This window comes from Homo sapiens, chromosome 11, assembly GCF_000001405.40.
Source record: "Homo sapiens chromosome 11, GRCh38.p14 Primary Assembly".
NCBI classification, from domain to species: domain Eukaryota; kingdom Metazoa; phylum Chordata; class Mammalia; order Primates; family Hominidae; genus Homo; species Homo sapiens.
The window spans coordinates 68,502,106-68,529,259 of record NC_000011.10 but is presented as its reverse complement, the minus strand read 5'-3'; the positions used below and the strand labels follow the sequence as shown (position 1 = coordinate 68,529,259).

At 40.8% G+C, this 27,154-nt stretch overlaps 1 protein-coding gene across 84 annotated transcripts in view, besides 2 other annotated features; it reads right to left on the bottom strand.

Annotated features, from left to right (window-relative positions):
• Positions 1–27,154, bottom strand: part of PPP6R3 (protein phosphatase 6 regulatory subunit 3) — a 154,583-nt gene that overhangs the window by 86,075 nt on the left and 41,354 nt on the right. For 35 of the 84 annotated variants that reach the window (NR_147969.2, NR_147968.2, NR_147970.2 and 32 more), the window contains one exon: positions 9,609–9,759. The gene's annotated coding sequence lies outside the window, so the exon portion shown is untranslated. Of the gene's footprint in view, positions 1–6,570; positions 6,767–9,608; positions 9,760–14,093; positions 14,233–23,988; positions 24,116–27,154 lie in introns of all 84 variants that reach the window. The other 49 variants (NR_147971.2, NM_001352354.2, NM_001352364.2 and 46 more) reach the window with 7 other exon arrangements.
• Positions 17,243–17,820: an enhancer, noted in NCBI's record as "H3K27ac-H3K4me1 hESC enhancer chr11:68278908-68279485 (GRCh37/hg19 assembly coordinates)". NCBI's record gives its function as "activates a minimal SCP1, AML or CMV promoter by ChIP-STARR-seq in primed H9 embryonic stem cells {active_cell/tissue: H9 hESC(primed)}" and the evidence as "EXISTENCE:reporter gene assay evidence [ECO:0000049][PMID:30033119]".
• Positions 17,821–18,399: an enhancer, noted in NCBI's record as "H3K27ac-H3K4me1 hESC enhancer chr11:68278329-68278907 (GRCh37/hg19 assembly coordinates)". NCBI's record gives its function as "activates a minimal SCP1, AML or CMV promoter by ChIP-STARR-seq in primed H9 embryonic stem cells {active_cell/tissue: H9 hESC(primed)}" and the evidence as "EXISTENCE:reporter gene assay evidence [ECO:0000049][PMID:30033119]".

The following is a 27,154-nucleotide window of genomic DNA, read 5'->3' as shown; positions in this document are numbered from 1 at the left end:
GAGACAGAGTGAGACTCCATCTGGAAAAACACACACACACACACCCAAAAACAGGTACATATCTCTGAGAATTGATTTCATTTTATAAGCTAATTCAAAATATATTTTCAGAAGAAGGAACAATGCCTAGGCCACTCGAAAATGTTGGGAAACAAAGATACTTGATTAATGTGGACAAAAAACTAGAATTCTCACTCAACCTCTAGAAAACAGACCTCACAGCATCCCTTGATTATTCCATAAGCGGCAGACGTGTTTACACCGAACCTCTGGCCGAGTTTATAAGCAGGCTGGGGAACAGGATGTACTCAACCACCAAGCTGAGGCAAGGCTGTTCATACTGGCTCATCTACTGATGCAGTGTCCAGACACCTGGAGGCTGAGGACTTCCTTCTAGGCTTGGATTCACCCATGCAGGAAGCTTAGTTGAACAGTGCCTGACAAGACCCAAATGTGAAACTATGGGCTCCAGGAGGGTCTGGTGACTGCTTCCAGGCATGCTGAAAGCTGCATGCCACTAAGAAGGGGCCAGGGAGGAAAGTGTCTATTAACAGGAAAAAGCAGAGTCACTCCCACGGAAGTTATCTCTTAGTGTTGTAAGTTAATGAGAAACTCTTCCCCCTGACAGCAAAGCTCAATGCCCAGGGAAATTTTCACAAGAAGGGGCAGAAACATGGAACACAAAGGAGTAAAAGCAGCTGGTCTTTAAAAGCAGCTCTCAATAACTTCTAAGGAAAAAGACCACAAAACACAGAAAGTTCACGCAGTAGCTGTTTCTCCATTCTTAGTGAAGTGTCAATTTCATAAAGGTGCAGCCCCCCCCCCCACACACACAAATTAAATCAAATATCAGGTGCCTACTAGAGTCAATATATTTCTTTAGAGAAGAGGGTAATACAAACTCAAACCCAGTTTTATCGTATCTCTGCAACTGCTTCTTCCAAAGAAGGTGTCAAAAGCAATCAGCTTTCTACCACCCAGGTATTCCAGAATCTTTTCCAGTTTCAACTTGAAACTGCTTTGATATTTCAAGCATTTCTTTGAGAATAAAGGAATCAAATCCATTTAATATGCTATATTAATCAACAGGTATTAAAGTATTAATATGAATTATGCTAAGGAATACAGGAGTAATATGACAGATGGTCCCTAAAGCCTTGAAAAATACAATAAAATTGAGAACAGAGAAAACAGAGACAGGCAGGCATACATTTCAACCTTGTTCCACAGAAAGGTAGCTCAAGGGAGGACAACCTGGCCAAAAATGCCTCATTATATATCAAGCCTAAGTTGAGCCTCAAAATACAGGGAGCATTTAGGAGGTGATGAATGGAGCTGCATAACATATTCCAGGCCAGGCGACGCCTCCCTGAAAGCAGTGGACAGGAAGACCCAGTAGCTTCAGGAGTCACAGCAGTGAGAAGGCCCTGAGGACAACAGGAAGGAGGAGCCTTTGGGTAGGTGGTAGGATTAGGTTGGCAACACAAGGCCAGACCACAAAGGGCTGTGTGTGAATGCACGGCACTGTGCAGGCTTGCTGCAGAAGCAGACAGATCCAGTGAGTTTTAACTGAGGAAAGTATGCATTAAAATATCTACAGCAGAGATTCAACAAAGTATTTTAATAACATAGAACAATTCTGAACAAAAGCAGACATTGGAAGTGACGTGGAGATGACACTGATGCTGTGGTTAGTACACTCTCAACAGAGTTCGTATTTCCTACAAAGGTGAAGGACAGAGGGAAGAGGACAAACCTCTTTTGGGTCTGGCCAGGTGTGAATATGACTTAAATATGGGACAGGAAAGAAGGGGATGAAGGTAAGACGCCTGAGGTGGGGCACTGTAGAGACTGGTCACGGTGCTAAGACAGACACTGGAGTCTGCAAGAGCAGATCTGGAGTGTGAATGCGTTAACTGTCAACAATGTGAAAGACAGATTGGAGAGGGGTGAGCCTAATGAAGAGGGGCCCACCGGAGCAGAAAATGATGCCTTGCAATGGCCTCTACGTTCAAAGCCAAGGTATCCGCTACAAGATTTCACACTAAATGACCATTACTTCTCCAATGTCACCAGCATTCTGCCTCCTCCAAGTCTAATTTCCACTTTTTCTTCATTCTGGAGCTGTACTTTGGTGTCAAATGATACAAATTTATACTTGCCTTTAGAATTCTAAGCTGTCTGGGAAATACACAACCCTCAGAAGGCAAATGTCTATATATACACCCTGTACTAACTCCAAATACACTGCTAAGATGCTAACAGCAAGACAAGATGTACAACCTTATCATTCACTTCACTTTTTTAAAGTCAACCACCAACCAAAAAATCCAGCCTTACTTTTGTCAACTAGTTCAAATTAAAGCAACTACAGTAACGTGTTCCTCTACAAATTCTCATTATGAAACCTTGAATGTACAGGAATTTCTGTGCCTATTTTCCACAATTTCAAAAACTTCAGTCCAAGTATATGCAAAGCATGGGTTATTTCTACTACGAACAAGTTTCATTGAAGTGAGACTGAGGGGTTGTGTGGGGAAAGGCAAGTAATAAGGATGGCACAATGGTAGTCGAGTTTTTGCCAGTTGTCTTCTTAAGAGATGAAGGAAACCGAGGAGAGGCAAGGAACACCCAGCTGGTTCCAGATGCACGTGTGCATGCTGGAGGTGAGGGTGTGTGAATAGAGGTAAGATGGTATGATAAAAGCCAACGTTAGCCAGGCCCAGTGGCTCACATCTGTAATCTCAGCACTTTGGAGGGGACAGTGGTAGGTGGATCACTTTAGTCCAGGAGTTCAAGATCAGCCTAGGCAACAAAGGGAGATCTTGTCTCCACCACAGAAAGTACAAAAAATCAGTCGGGCATGGTGGTGCACACCTGTAGTCCTAGCTACTCAGGAGGCTGAGGTGGGAGGATCACTTGAGCCTGGGAAGCAGAGATCACGCCACTGCACTCCAGCCTGGCTGACAGAGTAAGACCCTGTCTCAAAATTTAAAAAAAAAAAAATGTAAGTCAAAGTAAAATCAGTAAATTCTCATAGGCCCTAGAAAGGTTTCCCATCTGAAGCATCCAAGATTCTTGGAATTTCTGAAACTGGGCAGGATTCCAAGAGCGAACAAATGAGTCAAACATCAGAAAGGAAGCAACAGGTAACTGGAGGAGAGTAGGAAACATGGTTATGACTGGCATGGCTATTTGCAACAACACAAAAAGTTTCTAAGTCTCCAAAACTGAAGAGATACGAGGTGGTCCTCAGCAAATGAAAAATGGTGAAACTGCTTGGCTAGAAAGGGAATTCTATACTAACGTGGTGAAGGCAAAGCTTGGAAAATCCAAGTCAGTGTGGTTTGTATTAAGTGAAACCCAGTTATGTGCCATTTATAACTCACCCAACTTGAGGTAAGTGACAATGGTCATTTATTATTCAAATATCTTACAGACAAGGTACCCAAAGAAAATGGCCTTTCCTAATCAAGTAGAAATTCAGGAGCACACTGAGATGCTTTTGGCAAATGGTCAAAAAGAAGCAGTCTTCAGATTAAGAGCTATCAAATTCTATAATGAAAGACAGATTGGCAACTTAGTCACAAAAAAATCTTTCAAAAGCCCGTTTTTTTAAAGTTTTAGCTATTATCGTCAATCTTCCTTCCCTAGCAAACTTTGATCAGACTGTATATAACCCTGAAGTATTCAGGGCTATCTCAACAGCTTCAGGCTAGCAGCAATAAACTGTTAACCTTCAGGAAGTTCTTTCTTTTGTAAATGTTTTACAGTATGCAACCTAACGTGCAAGAAAAATTAAAGTAGATTCATAGACTACTGAGACTGCTCAGGAATAAAAGCTCAACAGAGAATGGTCTTTATAGCTCCTTATGAAAAACAATCTTCAATCTCTCCTAGCTATTCCACAATCACATTAACTGTCTGGACACTGCAACTTTATATAAAGGTGGAAACATAATTTTTAACAGCAGCTACCAATTATTAGGTGCCTACCATACTGCCAGACTCTGGGCTTCATGCTTTTAGATACAAGATACTTCATACCTTCAAGGTTTTGTTCTCATTTTGCAGATGGAAAAAAACTAAAATTCTGAGAGTTCAAATGACTTACTACTGAAGACCAGAGCTAGTAAACATGCTAGCAGAAATGGGACACAAACCCAGGTCTGACTAGCTCCAAAGTGTGCACTTTTCCTAGTCAAAGAAGCAGTCATCAAGAGCATGACCCCAGCCCAGCCAGCTGTGTGTGGCCTCAGCTTGTAGAAGGCAGCAACGGCAGGTCAGCCTTGCAATCCAATGGCTCTCAGGACAAGTTCAGGAAGAGGAACCATGTGCCTCTGTGCACAGGGTGGAGAATCACTTCCCAGACAAGACAACTGGGCATTCAGCCTGAAGAGCTCTGGACAAGCTCAGCTCTTGTGGCCAGGGGCTCTGATGGCATGGATTCACAGGATGCCACAGGCTTGTCAAAATGCACAGAAAACACAAAGCTAAGAGGAAGAGCTAATAATGGGTAAGTCAGCAGTCACACTGTTTGACACAACGAAACAAGAAAAATTTATTTAACATGAATGAATATAAAGTCCTTTTCAGACAAAAACTGAAAAACAAGATAGGAAGAATGCCAGGGAGAAGAAAACTGCTGAAGTGAAGAAAAGAAACAAAAAAGTCCAAAGATTTCAGTTCATTATAAGTCCAATAGAAAGTTCTAATATTACGATGTAACTAATAAGCAAAGAAATCCCAGAATATAGTAACAGATAAATAATGTCTAGGACCAGAGGAGAAATTAATCCCACTGTGGACTGCCCTGAGCACATCACGTCACACCAGGAAATAGCATATCCTGTTCTGAAGGAAAACAAAGAGTCTGGCAACCACATGGCATCCAAAGAGATGGCCAGGACAGCAGAAAGGCTCACTACCTGGAGGGATAAAGTAACTACCTTTGAATATATTTAAAAGCTTAGAAGAGAAGACCTGTCTTGTACTGTACCCAAGGATGAAATAAGAACCAGTAAGTAAAAAGTGCAAATTATCTACAAGCAATAGAAGCAAAACTTGCTAAAGATGAGGTCTGTGGCTTCATGAGAGGCCCCTCAATTGGAGGCGCCCTGGCAAAGCCTGAATGATTTTCTATAGGAACAGAAGGAGTTCCTGTTCTGGACAGGAAGGTTGTACTAAATGATTAACATGCTGTTTTATAAATCTCAAAATCCATTGGATATAAAAGGTACAATACATGGCTACATTTGGGCTGACATGGAGCTCCAGTAAGAAAATAGAAAAGATTATGTAACCTTCCAGATGCTTAGTGGGTTGAACCCCACGCATTCTCCACTGCTCTGGAAACTCTAGTAACACAACAAAATAAAGGACAAAGGAGAAAAAAGGAAACTACAGCCAAGAACGCCAACAATTCATGAAAAGACAAAAAACTTAAACGATTTAGGAAGTCCAATATTCAAATAAAAGAAGTTTTAGAATAACATATTATAATCTATCACCCACCTCTTGGCCAAGAGAAAAAAAAAAGGGGGGGGGGGGGGCAGGGGGGCATGGGTAGGAAATAGAAGAAAGCAATTCTCCCAGAGCTTAACAAATGTGGCTCTCCTTAGGGCCTGCACAGGCCATCACAATGAGTGGTGCGACAGATCCCCCCAAGGTACTGAGTGTAGTTCCATGGTAGCAGAGATGAAGTATCTAAACCTTCTAGTGGTGGGTGGGGAGGAGGGGGACTCACAAAAACAACACAAAAAAAGGACCATAACTTAGGATCAATTCTTGAAACCAACGTTTTCAGACATGGAAGGTCTGACGGATCTATTCACACATTTTCAGGCAGCTACTGCAGAATGTTCTTCACCAAAACATGACAATACATAAAACCAGAAATACGAGACATCAAGAGATAGACGACTCCCAGAAGAAAGGTGAGGAGAAACACCAGCAGTTACGGAGAAGGTCAAGTGCAACCAGTACAGAGGAAGGCATGAGGCAGAGGGTTTGGAAAAAGTGAGTCCAAGAAAGAGACACAGCTGACTGCCAGATGTATCTGACCACACTGAAGAGAATTTTGCAAATTTTGTTAGGGATTCCGGGAATAATTAACCAAAATATACATACCTTTAATACTGACTTTATCCAAAAGGTGAAGGAGGGAAGGAGCTATCCATGTAAGAACTAAAACCTCCTCTTCATAATTAGAAGCCAAGTAGATTACAAACAGCTACATATAGGCAAATTATTTAGAAATGTGGAAATAAGGGAAAACAGCTATGTGATGAAGGTAGCAGTCCCAAGTGAGTAATTCAGAGATAAGAAAGATGGAACAATTGTTATTTTTTGCTATAAACCTTGTGATATACCTCTGACTTTTTAGCCTCCATGAACAGTCTTCATGAAAGAACTACAGGCAGAATATTTTCAAAGAAGTTGAGAAAAGACAACCTACAGTAGAATCTGATAGGATATGCTACAACTGATTCCGGTGGTGTATAGAACAGAAAAGGGCTTAGTTCAACAAACTTAGAAAACCTATAAAAATGTAAGGTGTTTAAAGCTTACAGTTATTCTTTGATTATTCGCCAGCAGGCATCTGGAGACTTTTGAAATCCATCACCTGTTACTGAACCAGTAGCACCAACAGTAAACTTCATGCACTCATGGACTTAACCATCCCGGTTTGCCCTATCCCACAGCAGCTTGATGTGGTGAAGTTTTATTGTGATCTTCTGAGCACAGGGCAAAGAACGAAATTTTTCTGAACAAGAAGAACAGTTGTAAACGACCATTACTGAACACTGGATAGCTGTAGAAATCTGCCTTTGCTGAAGTCTCAATGGCTGACATGTGAATCATCTACTACATTAATGTCATTTAAACAACTTTCTCTGGTTGATAAGGAAGGTCAAGCTGCTTCATACACTTCCTGTAGGAGATGAGCTCTCCATTCTCATACAGATTGGCAGTGGACATGTTTTCTGAGCTGAAACTACAGTTACATAGCATTTTGCAGATCTTGATGCAAAGGCAAAGGCAATCTCCATATTTCAAAATCCATTCAGTTGTGCAAGTAAGGAGCTATCGCCTAAACTATAATTAGAAATGATTAATTTACTATGTAATGACATGCTAAAAAGCAAGTATCAAGAGAAGAATCCAAGAGAATTCTACATATGCCTTCCAAATAATGAATATACTCAACTGAAGTAATATGCTTGGGGACTGATAGAGAATGTGGGAGTACCTACCTGTGTAAAAAGACATTTCCAAAGATGAAAAATGTAAAACCTTGCTGCAGATCAATATTAATAGATTACATGTACCTTTGCAATAGATTTTGATGGGAGCAACTCTGACTTTAAAGACCAATTAGGTGAAATATTATCCCCCTAGAATAAAGAATTCCAGTCTTCTCACTAGTAAGAGAGAGCTGTATTACAGAAAATTGAACTAAATTATTACATTATGAATCTCACCAATAACAAAGCCTGTAAAAAATTGTTGTGTCTCTTGGTATATAAATACCTTCATAAAATCCTCTTTTTTGCCTCTTGGCCCGCAAAACCTAAAATATTTATTAACTGGCCTTTGCAATAAATGCTTTGTTTGCCAGCCCCTGGTCTAAAGTGCCCTATACCTACAGTGCTGTTCCTCTCCAGGAACCCTCCTAACCACCTGGCATTGATTCTAGGACTCCTGGAGACTTTGAAGGGTTCACTCTAGTGTAGGACAGCATGCTGACGAGCAGAGATGTGTAAAAGGAGGAGGAGGAGGAATAACTAAAGGTAAGAAATTGTTCCACAAGCTGCCAAAGCTAAGAATCTCTATCAGCAAAGAAAAACAAAATAAACAAGGAGAGAGAAGGAAAGTCTCAAATATTATCCTGAGAAATGCCTCTGACATTTTAGCTCCTACCACCAAACAATTAATGATACCTTATTTTGTGAAAAGTACTAAAGATACAAAGAAGTTACAGCTGTTTGCTCACAAAATACTTAAAATGTAGTTAAGAGAAAAAAATAATCCTAAAATAACTTAATGAGATGCTCTGAGAGTTCACAAAGGAGTGATCACAAGGGAACTGGAACAATCCAAGGTGGTTTGACAAAAAAGGCAGGAAGAAAGCTGAGCCCCAGAAGACGTGAATTCAAATACAAAGAACAATAATAAAACTCTGTGAGGCCGGACGCGGTGGCTCACGCCTGTAATACCAGCACTTTGGGAGGCCTAGGCAGGTGGATCACTTGAGGCCAGGAGTTCAAGACCAGCCTGGCCGACATAGTGAGACACCGTCTCTACAAAAAATACAAAAATTAGCCGGGCGTGGTGGTGCACGCCTGTAATCCCAGCTACTCAGGAGGCCAAGACCGGATAATCGCTTGAACCCGGGAGGTGGAGATTGCAGTCAGCCGAGATCGCACCACTACACTCTGGCCTGGGCAACAGAGCAAGACCCTATCTCAGAAAACAAACAAACAAACAAAAAAACTCTATGAGACAAGGGGCCACAAGGGGAATGAATACTTGCAGAGAATTCTCCACATGGGATTCATCCGGAAGAATATTGAGGTAAAGCTGAGGAAATCCTAAGTCGTGTACGAGAATCTGAATATCGGGGGCAAGAATTGGACATCACTGTTTAAGCTCAAGGGGAACCTGCAAGGGTTGAGTAGGACTGTTCTTCAGGAGCTGGGGCTGAGGAGACATCATATGCAAAGTAGTATTTCAGATGCCTAGGAAACATCCACCTGCCAGTTAGAAGCAGAGACCCCTCACAGCAAAACCACCATAGTATCTCTCCAGGCAACAAAGTCTGACCTAGCTTTGCAGCCGTGGTAACAAAAAGAAAAAGACAGTTGCAAGAGTCAACAGTAGAACCAATAGGCCCTGGTAAATCACTGCTCATCAGGATAAAAAGAAAGCCAAGTAAAAAGTGACTAAAATTTCAAGTCTTAGAGCTAGCACCAGTTCAGGAAGGTAGATGATTAAATGATTTTTGTCTACCTTCTAGAGATACAATGGGGACAAGTGAAATTTGATTAACTATGTTTGCATGTCCCCCAAAAGGACCTACTGCGCCACTTCTACCACTTCCTAGTAAATGCCAACTGAGCCAAAAGTCAAATATGCAAATTCAATCTCTAATCTTTAATAAAAACTTCTAAAGTGATGGAGATTAGGACTCAGAAAGACAAAAGTGGCTGACCAGAAGTCAAACGTCCTTTCGCTGGTATAAAACAAAAACAAACACACAGACAGAGTCCCGGTGCCCTGGAAGCAGTGGCCTGGGCGGCGAGTCTTTCTCTGCATGCTACTACTTCAGCTTACTAGGCCTGGCTGGTCATTGGCGCCCCTCTCAATAACCCCCTATAAGCTTAGAATCCCTTGAGTTCTGCAGATTTAAGATATACCAAAGCAGACTGAAGAGGCTGTCATTTAACTTCCTAAAAATACCACAGTACCACAGAATCATATTGTACCTAGCTCAGAGAGACTGGTCTCCACCTGGTTTGCTAAGACTCCAGGGTCTCACAATAGAACCACAGCTTTCCTTGATGTCATTAATGGAAGGAAACTCCTGCTAATCGTAATGGTCTTACCTTTCAAACCAAGTTTAAAAATTAAAAGAAATGTTTTCTTCTTTGTGGCTCCTTGCCCATTACAGGTTATCCTGGTAACAGTTTTCCTCCAATTTACTGCATTAGCAGATTAGCAGGAATACAGTGGGATATGGATATGAAACAAGCTCTCCTGTAAAAGAAAAAAAAAAGCAGATAATCACATATGTTCTCTTTTGGTGTGATGATAGCTGCCATTAAAGCATACTGGGTCAGGGTCTTGGGCCACACAGAACTATACCACAGGGAATTAAAAAGTTCTAGTTAATCACTAAAATTTTTCTATATGAACATAAGAAAAAAAGCACTGTCATCTCTCTACCTTAGCTTTTATCCTACCCTAAACAGTATCTCAGAAGTAAATACAGATGTCATAATAGCACTATCAATGAGTGAAGAAGAAAAATACATATTCTTACCTTTGTCTTCTGAAAACATCAATTCTATTCTTATCCAACATAGGGTCCACTATAAAGGCACCACACTTTTACTAAAAAATACTAAAATTTTACAATTTCCTTCCTTTAAATGCCCCCTGGCAGTCCACTTAATACGTTTTATCAGGAAGCGTGAGTAGAACATTAAGATCACTGAAGTTCTAGCTGTACTCAAATTCAGTCTCTAGTGTCAATTAACCAAACACTGCACATGAAAAGAATAGAAATTATCTTTCAAGGTATGCACTTCATATATAGCTTAATACTGTGGAAAATGACTTAAACTGTGGACATTGAACTAATTAGAATTCCTCTAAGTAGTGAAGCCTGACAGGGCCAAAAAAAAAGAAATCCTCTAAGAATGCAATCTACAAGGCATTTCCAAAACAATGCTGTTCATCTAATGCCTTTCCCCCATAAAACTCATACTACATTGTGATAGCAACATTTTCCCTCAAGTAAGATAATAAATAATGTTAAACATTTGTTAAAATCAATCAACAAAAATAACAGTAACAGGCCTCGGTGCAAATTAAAACGAGTATATTTAATTTTAAAAATAAAATATTTTACCAGTTAGGTGGTTTTTGACTATACACTGCAAAAAGTATAATCATCCAAATTTTTGCTTAAAATGAGAACAGACCATGTGGCTGTGCTGCTGGAGTCCTTAGACAAAACAGAAAGGTCCTGTATGGCAAATCCCTCTTCCCTCCAATTTAGGATCATGTATCACATCTAAAGTCCTATTTCCTTAATTTCCTCTCATCTGAAACAGTTCAACGTTTTTTTCCATTCATTTCACTGACATCTTTGAAGAATATGGGTTATGTGCTTCTGGCAGTAGTACTACATAAATGAAGCTTTGTTTCTCCTGGAGCATCACAGAAAGAGACAAGATGATGTCAATTTGCCCCATTATTGGTGATAATTTCAATCACTTGGTTAAAATTATATTTGCCAGATTTCTTCACTATAAACTGAGGATTTTCCTTTGTAATTAATTCATAATATGTAGAACAATACTTAAGAGACTATGTTCTTACAACGTTCATCCAGTAGTTTTAGTGCCAACTGGCAATTCTTGTCTGAATCAATTGATATTCAGTTATGAAAATGATGAGGTTTTTGAGGCTCTACTGTTCCTCCTGACATTCAAACTTCAGTGAGGGATGCTCCCTTCTCCCCACTTATTCTTTCCTTATGTCATCAGTATGGACTCATAGATTCGTATTTTATTAACTTTTTTTTTTTTTTTGAAGACAGGGTCTTGCTCTCTCGCCCAGGCTGGAGTGCAGTGGTGCAATCTCAGCTCACTGCAACCTCCACCTCCTGGGCTCAAGTGATCCTCCTGCCTCAGCCTCCTGAGTAGCTGGGATTAGAAGCAACCGCCAACATGCCTGCTTAATTTTTATATTTTTTGTAGAGACGGGATTTCACCATGTTGGCCAGGCTGGTCTCAAACTCCTGACCTCAAGTGATCCGTCCGCCTTGGCCTCCCAAAGTTCTGGGATTATAGGTGTGAGCCACTGTGCCTGGCCAATTAACATCATTATTCATTCTGATGTTCAAATTGTCCCACATTTGGCCAGTGGGAGCCCCTTCCTGCATGCTCTTGTGTGCTTTTCATAGTTCTCAAGCACTTCCTTATTTCCTCATGTAACATGTTCTGGATTTGTCTTATGCATTCTCTGTTCGGCTTTGAAATCTGCCATTTCTCCAAGGAGTCTTGGTTCCTTTTAGTGGGGGATGTAATTTAAAATGAAGGTCTTAGAGCAAAGTACGTTCATAGATACTGAGGCTGTCACTTCCTCTGTCCTTTTATAGCAAACAAAGCTGGGAAGGAATGTCAATTTCATATGCTCCAACTCTGTTGTGTATCCCTGACTTTTAAATATGAATGAAAACCAAGGATTACCAGACACCTCCAGAAAGCCTCTACCATAAAAAGCAGCAAAACAAACAGAAAAATGCAAGTTAGAGGAAAAGACCATCAGAAAACAGGAAAGAAAATTGAAAGCCTAAAATGGAACATTTTAGCAACGTTTTCCAACATCCAACCAACAGGGGTTCTAAAAAAAAAAAAAGAAAGAACAAAAAAACAGAAGAGAGGAAATCAGATAAATAATTCTCAAAACCGTTACTTAAAACAGACCCATACCAAGGAACATCACTGTTAAACGGCATGACCCTGGCACAAAGAAGAGCCTAGGTCTTCCATAACCAAAAATCTGAATAGTTTCAGATTTCTCAAGAACAGAAAACAAAAAAGTGAAGTAACACATCACATCCATTAGGATGGCTACTATAGGAAAAGAAGAAAAAAAAACAGGAAATAAGTGTCAATAAGGATGTGGAGAAACTGGAACTCTTGCGCACTATTGGTGGGAATGCAAAATGGTACAGCAGCTGTGGAAAAACCGTTAACATTCATTCCTCAAAAAATTAAAAATAGAATTACTATATGACCCAGCAAGTCCACTTATGGTTCTACACTCAAAAGAACTGAAGGCAGGGTCTTGAAAAGATATTTGTGTACCTGTGTTCATGGCAGCATTACTCACAACAGCTAAAACATGGAAGCAACCCAAGTGTCCATCAACAGATGAATGGGCAAGTGAAGTATGGTAGAGACGGAGTATCCCCTGTCCAAAATGCTTGAGACCAGAAGTATTTCAGATTTCAATTTTTTTGCATTTTTAAATATCTGCATATACATAATGAGATATCTTGGGATAGGGCCCAAATCTAAACATATAATTCAGTTGTGTTTAAAGTATACTTTATACATATATCCTAAAGGTAATTTTACACAATATTTTAAATTAACTGTGTATTGTGTGTCCATATTGTGACTGCAACCAGTCACATGAGGTCACATGTGTTGTATGAGGTCAGGTGTGGAAACTTCCACTTGTGGCATCGTGTTGGCACTCAAAAAGTTTCAGATTTTGAAGCATTTCGAAATTTCCAATTAGGGATGCTTTAACCTGTATATACATACAATGGAATATTATTCAGTCTTGAACAGGAAATTCTGATATACGCTACAATGTAGATGAACCATAAAGACGTGCCAAGTCAAATAAGCCAGTCACAAAAATGACAAAAATGTATTTTGAATAAAGGCAGAAGACTATGTAATTCCAACTTATTGGAGGTACTCAGAATAGTCAAAATCAGAGCCAGAAAGCAGAACAGGAGATGGAGGACGGTGCTGATTGCACAATGTTATGAAGGTATACTATTAACTGTACACTTAAAAAGGCTAAGATGGTAAATTTTTTAATATGTATTTTATTACAATAAAAAAATGATAATGGGGCAATGTCTAAAGAATTCTGAAGAGATCCGTTCTGGCTGAATGTCTGTCCTCCCTCTCTTCCACTCATATGTTGAAGTCCTAACTCCCAGCATGGTTATATTTGGAGAAAGGAAGTAATTACAGTTAAATGGAGTCACAAGGGTGGGACCCTGAATTGACAGGATTAGTGTCCTTATGAGACACCACGTGCACATGAACCCAAGGAAAGGCCATGTTGAGAAAGTCTGGGTCATAATCTCGAAAGACACAATCCTGAATGCCACAATCCCGAATGCTGAATGCTCATGTGCAGTGGATTCTAATTATTGACTGGATAACTTTGTGAACATTAGAATTCTGGGCGTGTTTTGGAACATCGGTTTGCAAGCTCTTCCGAGCTGGTATGACTTTTCTTTCTCTTCTCTATGTTCTCATTGTTTCAGGATTGCTGCCCCCCTACCGCCTCACCCCTCCAGCTCCTGGTTCTTTGTCCCAGCCATCTCCTGTGGTACTGTGCTGTGTCTGCCTTGTGGAGACCCTGAGGATGTTCTGGATGGAGTTACCAAGCCCCCGACAGGCTGGTCCAGTTCCTGGCCTCAACAAAGTATGTGTCCTTTTGCCTCAGGAGACCAGCTGCTCCCTAAAGGCTGCAGCCCCCAGCAGAGTTTGGCCTGTTTTTCTGCCTGTTTCACAAGAGAGTGAGCCCCCCTGGCTCCAGCTGCCCACCTGCACGAAGCTCTGTTAATGGCTGGGACCCCCGAAGCACCTGGGCCCCCAGCCTGTTGCTGGGCCTGGGCTTCAGCTTCTCTCCAACTCCCATCTACTCCACATCTGGTCCTGGGAGATGTTTTCTTTCCTTCTGAGCCTGAAAGATCAAAAGCCCTAAAGTCTAAAATCCTGAAAATTACAATCCCAAAAGATCAAAATCCCAAAAATATAATTCTGGAAAAAAATAATTTAAAAAAACTTTCAGAAGACATGTATTTCTATTTTCAAAGGGGGATTTCAGGCCAGGCATGGTGGCTCACTCCTGTAATCCCAGCACTTTGGGAGGCCAAGGCAGGTGGATCGCCTGAGGTCAGGAGTTCAAGACCAGCCTGGCCAACATGGCGAAACCCCGTCTCTACTAAAAATACAAAAATTAGCTGGGCGTGGCGGTGCACACCTGTAATCCCAGCTACTTGGGAGCCTGAGGCAGGAGAATCACTTGAACCTGGGAGACAGAAGTTGCAGTGAGCCGAGATCACACCACTGTACTCCAGCCTGGGCGTCAGAGCAAGACTCCGTCTCAAAAAATAAAAAATAAAGGGGGATTTGAGAAACATAAAAAAAATGAGAGAATACGTCATAGGTCACTTTACACAATAAAATAGGCAATAATCACATGCATATTTTTGCAAGGATACAAGGTATAATTCAAGTCTAATAATGACAGTCACATGGGTAGACTAACAGTCATGAGCAGACAAACTACATTCATAAAGAAATAGGTTAAAAAAAAAAGCAAAATGCATAAATGCATATAACAGCCAGCATGGTGGCTCAGGCTTGAGATCCCAGAGCTTTGGGAGGCTCTGACGGGTGGAATGCTTAAGGCCAGTTCAAGACCAGCTGGGCAACACAGTGAGATCCCACCCCTACAAAAAAAAAAGTTTTTTTCATTAGCTGGACTTTGGAGCAAGCACCTGCAGTCCTAGCTACTCAACAGGCTAAGGCAGGAGGGTCACTTAAGGCCCAGGAGTTTGAGGTTACAGAGAGATATGATCACGCCACTGCACTCCAGCCTGGGTGACAAAGCAAGACCTTGTTTCATTCATTCATTCGTACATACATTAAAATGCGTATAACTACGGGTGGTAATTGTATGCAATCAGCTTTACAACTGCAGTCATCTACAACCTATGTCTTTTGATGAGATCTACCAAAAACCACGATGGATCAACATCACATATGCAGTTGCTCAGAGAGCTAAGATCTTTAATTTTATCTTTCACAAATGCAGATATACAAAAAAGGACATCTCTTCATTTACTGAGGAAGTTTCAACTGTTTTACACATATGTACAACGCTTACACACAAAGTCAACACTAAAAATGTACTTTTGTGGAGTCAAATGTGCAAAAAACGCATAAAACAAAAACAATATATACAACTTATACCACCAGTATTGAATATGATGTGAAGACTAAATATATAGCATAGCAAACTGGCGCTATGTGTGAATGGGCAGAAGTCTTATAGGACTGAATAATTTGGCAGAAGAGATTTCTTGTAGTTTTTGTCTGTCTTCACTACGTCTATGATCTTCGAAACACCTGTTGCACTTGTATTTGAAGAGTGGTTGTGGTCTTCAAACTCTTTAAGTACATGCTGTCTGTTTCAAAGTCTGTTATGTCCAGCTGTTGCAATTAAGCAATTTTCTGCTTTCATAGCCCCAATAATAATTAACTTTAACATTTTTATCTTTCACCATTACGTAGCCTCATACACTTATCACAGCCTTTTTGCAAGGGAACAATTTCACAGATCTGTTCCATTGTGTTTTAAGAAACACAGTAAGAAGGAATATTTGACTTCCCCAATACCAGATTTGTATTAAGCTTCTCCAGCAAGACAGAACTGGTAAGATATGTATACAGATACATGAGAGGGGATTTATGCGGGGAATGAGCTCACACGATTATGGTGCTGGGAAGTCCCATGACAGGCAAGCTGAAGACCCCCGGGATGCCGGTAACGAGGTTCAATCCAAGTCCAAAGGGCCTGAGAACCAGGGACGCCAGTGGTCTCTAACTCAGTCCACAAAAGCCTCAGGACCCAAGGGGGCTGCTGGTGTATATCGTGGAGTCCAAAGGCTGGCAACCCTGGATTTCTCACATCCAAGGCAGCAGAAGAGTCTGGACCCTGGTTGATTGGATGGTACCTGCCAACACTGAGGGCAGATCTTCCCCGCAGCCCACTCAGACTCACGCATTAGTGAGTGAGGTATTATCAATTACAAAATAGGGATAATAACTAATAACAGGAATGGACAAGCACTTGTACAATGCCAGCACAAAAGGTTTGTAAGGGCAGACATTCATACCTGACGTTTTGTGATTAAGCAAGTGCGTTTAGATGCTGTTTGAGAATTTTTCCATCTCCTCTGAAAACACTCTCACAGACACACCCAAAACCTAATGTTTCACCAGGTTTCTAGGTACTCCTTAGTTAAGGTGTCATCTAAAACTGAGTCCACAAGTCCACCTATTGTCAACCTGGCACCCACACGCATCTCCTTAAACCATACTTAATTTACGAATAAAGACAATAACAAGGTAATAGTTCCGTCTAACGTGATGCAACTATCCTACGCACAACCAAAAACATACTGTCCCTTCCCCGGTAATTGGCTTTCAGGGCTTCAACACTCAGGATTTTAATCTTTTGTGATTTTCAGGATTTTAGAGATTATGATCTTTAAGGATTTTGATCTTCAGGGATTCTGATCTTTAGGTATTCCAACATTTGGGATTATGGTGCTCCAGACTGTGTCATCTGGTATGATGATTGGCACCACATGTGAGAAGAGATGGTGTCTCTAAACCAGAAAGAGGCCACTCTCTAGAAACCAAATTGTCAAGAAGCTTGATCTTGAACTTCTAGCTTACAGAATGTGAGAAAATAAATTTCTGTTGTTTAAGCCACCCAGCCTATGATATTTTGTTATGGCAACCCTGAGCAGACTAATATAGAAGGAAAACTATTTCCAATCCAAAAGCATATACACAGTCAAACTTTATCAACCACGAGTACACAGAAAGACACACAGTCTCAACAGGTCTAGCTCCTATACACCTTTCTCACTGAAAACTACTGGCAACTATGCTCCACTAAAACTAAGGAGAGCAACAAGGTAACACAGAACACAGGAATAGGAGATCCAATGGGGAGAAAGAGGTAAAAAGAACCCCCAAGGTCACAGAATGGGAGAGCCAGCAGTCCAAACTAGAAAGATTCCTTCAAAAGGATAAAGATGAGGGAAGATCTGAATATGTAACTGGCTAAAAGTCTGAGGCTAAATTAGTGATAAGTACATTTAAAAAACACACACACACACACACACACACACGGCTGGGCGCAGTGGCTCATGCCTGTAATCCCAGCACTTTGGGAGGCCGAGGCGGGTGGATCATCTGAAGTCAGGAGTTTAAGACCAGCCTGGCAAACATGGCGAAACCCCGTCTCTGCTAAAAATACAAAAATTAGCCAGGTGTGGTGGCACACACCTGTAATCCCAGCTACTCAGGAAGCTGAGGCAGGGGAATCACTTGAACCCAGGAGGCAGAGGTTGCCATGAGCTGAGATCGCGACACTGCACTCCAGCCTGGGCAACAGGGTGAGACTCCAACTCAAAACACACACACACACACACACACACACACACACTCTAACACAGTAACACATTTCCAGAGGAAACCAAAAGTTGTTTAGGAAAGGAAAGTATTTGTAATTTATACCATTTAACAGCTATAAATAGTATACATGGGCCGGGCGCGGTGGCTCATGCCTGTAATCCCAGCACTTTGGGAGGCCAAGGCGGGCGGATCACAAGGTCAGGAGTTTGAGACCAGCCTTACCAACATGGCGAAACCCCGTCTCTACTAAAAATACAAAAATTAGCCGGACGTGGTGGCGCGTGCCTTAATCCCAGCTACTCAGGAGGCTAAGGCAGGAGATTCGCTTGAACCCGGGAGGCAGAGGTTGCAGTGAGCTGAGATCACACCATTGCACTCCAGCCTGGGCGACAGAGCGAGACTCCGCCTCAAAAAAAAAAAAAAAGTATGCATGGTCGTAATGTAGTATACGTGGTTGTAATGAAAAAACTAAATAGTGATTTAACCAAAATGTTAACAAACCTCTATTGGGTGGATAGGGAAGAGAGAAAACAGGGATGAAGGTGCAGTAAAGGAGAGAAGAGAGAGCCAATCCTTATCTTCCATGTCAGAAAATCAATAGACACTGGTTAGAACTAAAAAAATCAGAAAGTATACACACAAGTATGAACCCTTCAAATACAGTCTTCAGACATATGGAGGTAAATAAGTATTTTTAACTGGTTAAAACAGTCCAAAGTATTACACTATCTCCAGGAAAGGGAAAAAAAGAGAGTGGGATACTTAAGGACTCCTGTTTGTCTTACCCAATCTAGAATAGTTGACTCCAAAATATGGACATATAAAGCTTTAGTTTAAAGAAAAACCTAGAAGTTTTTAAGAAAAAATGCTGGGGCTCATGCCTATAATCACAACATTTTGAGAGACCAAGGCAGGAGGATCACCTGAGCCCAGGAGTTCGAGACCAGCCTGGGTAACATGGCAAGACCCCATTCTCTACAAAAATTTTAAAAATCAGCCAAGCATGGTAGCACACGCCTGTGGTCCCAGCTACTCGAGAGGCTGAGACAGGAAGATCACTTGCCCAGGAGGTTGAGGCTACGGTAAACTGTGTCGCGCCACAGCACTCCAGCCTGGGCTACCTAACAAAACCCTGTTTCAAAAAAAACAAAGAAGAATGTTGGACTGGGAAGAGGTATTAAATGTTGAGAGACCAGAGAGCTGTAATATCAGGTCACACAGGTAATGAGAAGCTAAGACAAATCACTTAACCTGAGTATCGATTTCTTCATCTATAAAATAAAATAGGCCAGGTGTAGTAGGGGCTCATGCCTGTAATCCCAGCACTGTGGGAGGCCAAGGTGGGCCAATCACTTGAGCTCAGGAGTTAGAGGACACCATGAGCAACATGGTGAGACCCCCACCTCTACAAAACTTATCAAAAAAAAAAAAAAAAAAAAAGGCCGAGCACAGTAGCTCACACCTGTAATCCCAGCACTTTGGGAGGTGCCAAATCAGGTGGATCACCTCAGGTCAATAGTTTGAGACCAGCCTGGCCAAGAAGGTGAAAACCTGTCTCTACTTAAAAAAAAAAAAAAATTTGCCGAGTGTGGTGGCAGGCACCTGTAATCCCAGCTACTCGGGAGGCAGAGGCAGGAGAATCGCTTGAACCCAGGTGGCAAGGGTTGCAGTGGGCCGAGATTGTGCCATTGCACTCCAAACTGGGCAACGAGAGCGAAGCTCCGTCTCAAAAAAAAAAAAAAAAAAAAAATTAGCCACATGCAGTGGCTTATGTCTAGTCCCAGCTACTCAAGGGGCGGATGTTTCAATGAGCCAAGATTGTGCCATAGCACTCCAACCTGGGTGATAGGAGTGACACCCTGTCTCAAAAATAAAAATAAGAGAGGTGGGGTAAATTAACTCTAAATTTTCTTGTTGCTTCAACAATTTATGAATCTAATATAAAAATAATCAAAGCTTTAAACATGGTACCAGTGGCTACAGAAAAAATTAAGCAGGACTTGGTAAAAAAAAAAAAAAAAAAATAGAGAAGTAAAATAAAAAAATAAAATCTGCTTTAAGCCCAGAGGGACTGAGAACGTACTGATGGTGAAGGAGAAGTCAGACAAGCACGGTTGAAGAAATCAAGATCCAAGGTTTCCTATCCTCACAGGGAAAGAATTTAACTGACAGTATCCAGACATACTACAGCACAACACCACTAAAAAAAGCTAAGCCACAAAGAGATGCTTTGAAAGTTAAACACAAACAGATGAGGGTGGAATCCATAAGGATGATGAAAGGTTCTCCCTAAAGAACACTAAAGGTGAAAACGGGGGAATTCTCCAAGTATTTAATTTCTATTTACATCATAATCAAAGGACAGGGTGAGAAAAGGACACGGTTAGAGTAAGACTACTCTGAAACACTGGGAGCTGCTGCACAGCATCATGGAAGCTAACGAGGAAGACTATGGTTTTAATCATCAATAATATCAGATGTGGTTCAGTAGTTGACAGCATTAGACTATTCTCTTAGAGGAAATGAATCCAAAGCCCTCTCTCCAAAAAAGAAATCAAGACAGGAAAAGAAAATAGTATACTTTTATTTGCAGCCAATCATTCCTTCAATACACTGCATTTTTCTCAACAGTCATACAACCTAACCCTGTCACACAACCTAACCCTGTCACACAACCTAACCCTGTCACACAACCTAACCCTGTCACACAACCTAACCCTGTCAAAAGATTTCTCTTCTTTTCAGTACTGCTGACTCTGATAACACCAATAAAGAGAATGCAAGTGTAACATAATATAAAAATAACATTTAAGAATGAGGACTGCTTTGGACTAAAACACCAAAACCACAAATTCTCAACTAAACAGCATCTAAGTGAACTTGCTTAATCACAAAATTTGAGAGCAGCAGGAATGAAAACTATCCTTACAAACCTTTTGCGCTGGCACTGTGCAAGTACTTTTCCATCCTATTATTATCATCCCTGTTTTATAGTCTAGGAAAATAAAGGATTTACCCCAAATCACTCTTATATGGACACTAAATTTATTTAAAAACAAAAAGCCGGCCAGGCACGGTGGCTCACGCCTGTAATCCCAGCACTGTGAGAGGTGGAGGTGGGTGGATCACGAGGTCAGGAGTTCCAGACCAGCCTGGCCAACGTGGTGAAACCCCGTCTCTACTAAAAATACAAAAAAAATAAGCCGGGCTTGGTGGCTGGTGCCTGTAATCCCAGATACTCGGGAGACTGAGGCAGGAGAATTGCTTGAACACAGGAGGCAGAGGCTGCAGTGAGCCAAGACTGTGCCACTGCACTCCAGCCTGGGTGATGGATCAAGACTCCATCTCAAAAAAAAAAAAAAAAAAAAAAAAAGGCCAAAAAACTCACTTAGGCCGGGGAAAAAAAGCAGTAGTAATCTGCTCCCTATCCTCTCATATAAATTTTTTTTTTTTTACACATGAGGTGTTGCTATGTTGCCCAGGCTGGTCTCAAACACTTAGGCTCAAGCAATCCTCCCACCTCAGCCTCCCAAAGTGCTAGGATTACAGGTGTTAGCCACCTCACCCAGCCTCATATAAATTTCTAATATAAATACCATGATATTCCTGATGTAAACTCATAAGAGGAAATCATAGCTATTGCATAACATGCAAGAAAGCATTTTCTCCTGAGAGCACATATCATACACAACTAAAGATGCACTCTCCATTAGACAGACAGGTGGTATATCACAAAGCTTGGATACACAAAAGCAAGAAACACTAGTTTTTAACTGGCATCAGGAAGTCCCAGGACAGGCCACCTCAGAATGCCCTCCTAATGCAAATCTCAAAAATCCCATTGCTGCAAGTACCCTCACACGTTTTCTAAAGCACCCAAGTTTGAAGAGATGAAGGTAATGAGATGGGAAGATAATTCATCTCTACAAGGACTTGTTCACCATTTTTACCTTCAATGCCTAGCACACCGTAAATTTAAAAATCATCCACAAAATTTTGAATACAAAAATCATCAAAAATAACTGCATAAATGCCCATAATCAGGCAACAACCAACTTCCATGACTGTTGATAAATAACCTAATTCCCATGTCTTCAGAGGCATCTTCCAACAAAAATAACTATAGACAGGCAACTCAATCAGCCAATTTCAGAAACACCAACCATTTTAGTACAGCCCGAGGTAGGAACACCAAGACTTCTAAGCCGTTAATCAATAATCACTATACCAAAAAAAAAAAAAAAAAAATGCAAAAAGACTACTGTGAAAAGTACAAAACACCCAAAGTAAATCCATACTATCACCTCCTAAAAGCAAAATCATGTATGTAAAGTACTTGAAGTAAAGACTTTGGCACCTAATTGGACTACATCATTGTTTGGCTATGCACCCTAATGGACACTCAAATCACTGCAGGCATATATGAAGCCAACACAATCTAAGCTGCTATTAAAACAGAGCCAAGTCATAAATTAGTACATCAACATCTAGAATAAGGCCCAAAGAACTACCTCTGCCTGTTGTAACAACAGTGGGCAGGGACGCACAGCAAAGGTACAAATGACTACATGATCCCAATCACCGAGCTACATTTAGTGGGCTCAGCCAAGGTATACAATCAAGCTTAATTTGATGTAAAAGCTGAAACTTCCATAATCCATAGTACAAAGGTAAAAAAGACCAAAACTTCTTATATGGAATCTTGGCAATCAAATGGTTATTATCTGAGATAAGTGTACAAAGATTGCTGAAAGGTGAGAGGAATGGGGAAGATGATGGTCAGGGGAGACAAAGCCTTAATTAGGAGGAAAAAGGGTTTTTTTTCTTTGAGATATAGTGCATAGCATGGTGAATGTAGTAAATACTCATCCCACTGTGCATTTCAAAATCACAAAGAGAATTTCCAATTTTCTTCCCACAAAAAAGTGTTTGTGGTGATGAATGTTAATTAACTTGATTTAATTATTCTGCATTGTATACATGAATCATAACATCACTTTGTACCCTATAAATAACAGCTATAATTTATCAATTTACAGTTAGGAATTTTTTTTTTTTTTTTTTTTTTTTTTTTTTTTTTGAGTATAAAGGGCTGGGTGCAGCAGTTCATGCCCATAATCCCAACACCTTGGGGACTGAAACAGGAAGATCACTTGAGGCCAGGACTTAGAGATCAGCCTGTGCAAAATAGCAAGACCCCGTCTCTACTAAAAATATAAAAATTAGCCAGGCGTGGTGGTGCATGCCTATAGTCCCAGCTATTCAGGAAGCCAAGGTAAGAAAATTGCTTGAGCACAGGAGAACTCAAGCCTAAGGGTGGGATTTTTATTAGGTTGGTGCAAAAGTAATTGTGGTTTTTGCAATTAAAAGTAATGGCAAAAACCACAATTACTTTTGCACCAACCTAATAAACTGGCAAAACAAGATACCTACAACGCGGGGGGAAAAAAGGAAACAATCTCATACAGGTTCTTATCAGTGTCCAAAAATAAAGAAAAAAAGGATAAAACATGAATGAAGAAAAGGCTCAGGCCAGGACTAGTTGTAGCACTATCCCAAGCTCCAAGAGTTAAGTCTTTACTCCCAGTTTTGAACCTAAACCTTCTAATGTGTAGCTGGCAATTCTAGTCATACTTGTATGCCTTAGTCTCCACCGTTAGCATTTCTAAAAAAAGATTAACAAGAAAGGGAAACACTCTACGGCTGAGCTGTCCAGTTCCACAGCCACACACAGTTACTGAGCATCTGAAACATGGCTAGGAAGGCAAAGGAGCTGGTTTTTTGTTGTTGTTCCACCCCACTCCCCTGGGAGCTGAATTTTAAATTAATTTTAACTACTTATATTAGGTTGGTGAAAAGTAATCAGGTTTTTGCCATTACTTTTTATTGCAAAAACTGGAATTACTTTTGTACCAACCTAATACAAAGTTCTACTAGACAGCACTGCTCTGACTCACGTTAAAACTAAGCACACACATACCAAGACCCTATCTCTCTAAATAAATAAAAAACAATAATTCAATTTTTAAAAATCTAGGCACAGAATAAATGTTTATGGCCTGTAATCTTAGATGAATAAATTCTCATCTTCTAGGTCTTAACTTTCTCAACCAAAAAATGTAAGAGTTCAACTCGATTGTGTCCACGATTCTAAATGAACTAGTGCAGCATATAAATTAATATTCTTCATTCAAACAGTAGTAATGTAATTAAAGCCACATACCCCTTAAAATTATGGGAGGTACCTCAAACTGAAGACACAAGGGTATTATATGACCCCTCCATATGGCCGAGGAAGTTCTGTCACTATTTGAGCAAGTCACCACATCTCTCTGAGCTTGTTTTCTTATCTGTAAATGAGAGGTTTAGACTAAATGATTACTTAAGACACTTCAAATCCTAAAATTCTTCATTCCTTTAGATCTAAGAAGACATAGAAAAGAACAAATAAGTGAAACCAAGATACTCAAAGAAATAAGGAAAAATTATAAAAACCAGTTTAAACTCTTAAGAAATGAAGTAAATTGAAACCAGACCCCAATGACAGAGGCTGTAAAGTTGTACAATGTCAATGTGCTCTGCTAGGAGGCTGATTTGGTCTACTGGCACGTGCCTAGTTTTTCATTTTTGCTTTAGTCCACACGTAAAAACACACTGCTATCTCCAAAGAAGGCCAAACTGCAAAAAGTTCTATACAGTCAGGTGCGTGTAGCTGGGATGAGAACACACAGCTCACAAAGGTTTGGACTGTTCTTTCCCCCAACAAAAACTTGACCAAGAAAATCTTCCTACACTAGACAGCTATAGTAGAATCCCCATTGCTGCTTTCAGGGCTCTCAAATTGTACCAGGAGCTTGCTTACTTTGTCAATGAGCCAAACCAAGTAAAACGGGATGCTCTCTTGACAGGGGGTACACTTACTTTTAGCTGCAATAAGGTAAACTGAAGTGTGCATTCATCCATAAAGATATTGTAAGATATCCTTTCCTATGGCGTATAACTCAGTACATATATGAAATAGGAAAGAATCCACTCGAAAGAATCCTAACAGGTATCTGGAGAAAGGAATATAGCCTACTGACTTAAGTGAAACGTGAAAAAGTAGAGGGTCAGGGCAGAAGGACAAGCTCTACACAGCTCTTTTCAAAGGCACCTTTCTATATACATTGTGTGGCCTATACCAGACCCACCTGTATATTTCTCAATCTTGAAAAATTTTAATGAAAAAAAGTAACTCTCAAAGAACCTGACTTAGAGCATAGTAAGAAAAAAAAAACAATTTCTACTTTCTTCAAGAATATAATGCTTTACCTGATATAGACATTCCTTTGTTTTACTGCTGATTTAACCAGGCCACCACTGATGACCATTTAGTTTTCACTTTTTGCTATTACAAAATATGCCAGTATTTCCAGAAGTGGATCTGCTGGATCAAAGAATGTGCGCTTCTAATTAGGCACGTGGCCAAGTGGCTCTCCAATGAGGTACATGGCCAAGTGGCTCTCCACGGAGGTCAGCCCTACCCATATTCCCCCAGTGATGTGTGAAAGCCTGTTTCCACACACCTGGTCAACAATGCATTTGCTTTTCTCTTCAGTGAGGATGGGCACTGTTCATATATTGAAGAACCATTTATACTTCACTTTTCTGCCAACTGTCTGTTTATATCCTTTGTCTACTTTTCTACTGGGTTGGTCTTCTCAATGATTTGTAGGGGTTATTTTAAAAAAAGAAAAAGTTATTTGTCTGATAGCATTCCCTCTTCACCTCATTCCAATCTGCGATCTCTCTACCACTCAGCTCAAACTGCTCTTTCAGGTCACTGACAACCTCCAGACAAGGCTAAATCCAAATGAAACTCTTCTGTCCTCACGTACACCTCACTCTCAGCAGCATGCAAGGCAGTCCCCCAGAAGACGCTCCTCATTAGAACATTCTCCTCGCCTGGCTTCTCTGATGTCACACACTCGTTGTTTTCTCACTGGCCATTTCTCAGTCTCCCTAGTTGGAGGGCTGCTCCTCTCCTTCCTTCCTTCCTTCTTCTGTCCCACTGATAACACAGAGGCTCCCACAGAGGTCAGGCTGTGGACCTAGCACACTTCCCTGAGTGCAGCACATTTGCTCGAAGTAAATTCACATTTGTTTTATTTGTGCTGTTTCCCCAGCAACTAAAACAAAGCGCTGGGAGATTCAAGACAAGTTCTGTTGAATAAACGAAGCCGTTTCCGTGGGTTTTTAAAATATTCTTCTCCAGGCCGGGCACGGTGGCTCACGCCTGTAATCCCAGCACTTTGGGAGGCTGAGGCAGGCGGATCACGAGGTCAGGAGTTTGAGACCAGCCTGTCCAATATGGTGAAACCTGTCTCTACTAAAAAATACAAAAATTAGCCAGGCGTGGTGGTGTGCGCCTGTAGTCCCAGGTACTCGGGAGGCTGAGGCAGGAGAATCACTTCAACCTGGGAGGCGGAGGTTGTAGTGAGCCAGTATCACACCACTGCACTCCAGCCTGGGCAACAGAGTGAGACTCCGTCTCAAAAACAAACAAACAAAAATTCCTCTCCATAAACACAACTAAGGTCCAAATTTATAAAACCAAAACAACCATCATGGCATTTCAAACACAGGTAACCCAATGACTAGTAGACATTTCCCTTTGGTTATCTCACAAGCACATGGTATTTAATCTCCAAAATGGAGCTTTTGCTCTCCATCACAAGCTGCCCATCCAACCAAACCTCCTCTTCACCATGCCCTCCCCATCTCAGTAAAAGGCACACCCTAGTTGTGAAAGGCAGCCTGGAAAACAGCCCTGGCTCCTCTTTTCCCTTCCAATCCAATTCACCAAAACATTGTCAGTTCCGCCTTACACTTTCCCTTCTCTGCATCTTTTGCCACAACCTGGAATAAGGTAAACTGGAGTGTGCATTCATCCATAAAGATCTTTTAAGATACCCTTTGGACACAGCTTCCTAATTCATCTCCCAGTCTCCTCTGGCCCCTCCAACCCACTGTTTACTTGGGTTCTTGGTTAGCGCCCCCTGCAACTCCCATGTGAGCATGAACAATAATGATAATAATTCTGATATATGCTCTGTACTATGGTGGCCACATACGGCTTTTGAGCACTTGAAATATGACTAGTTTCATCTAAGAGGTACTAAGAGTATAAAATATGCAATGGATTTCAAAGATTTAGTATAAAAATGTGAAAACATCTCAATTTTCCTACTGATTATATGTTGAAATAATATTTTGGACATAATGGGTTGTATAAAACATATTAAAATTAATTTTATGCGTTTTTTACTTTCTTCATGTGGCTATTAGAAAATTTAAGATTACATACATAGCCTGCATTGTCTTTCGTAGAAACACTGTCCTGAGCATTT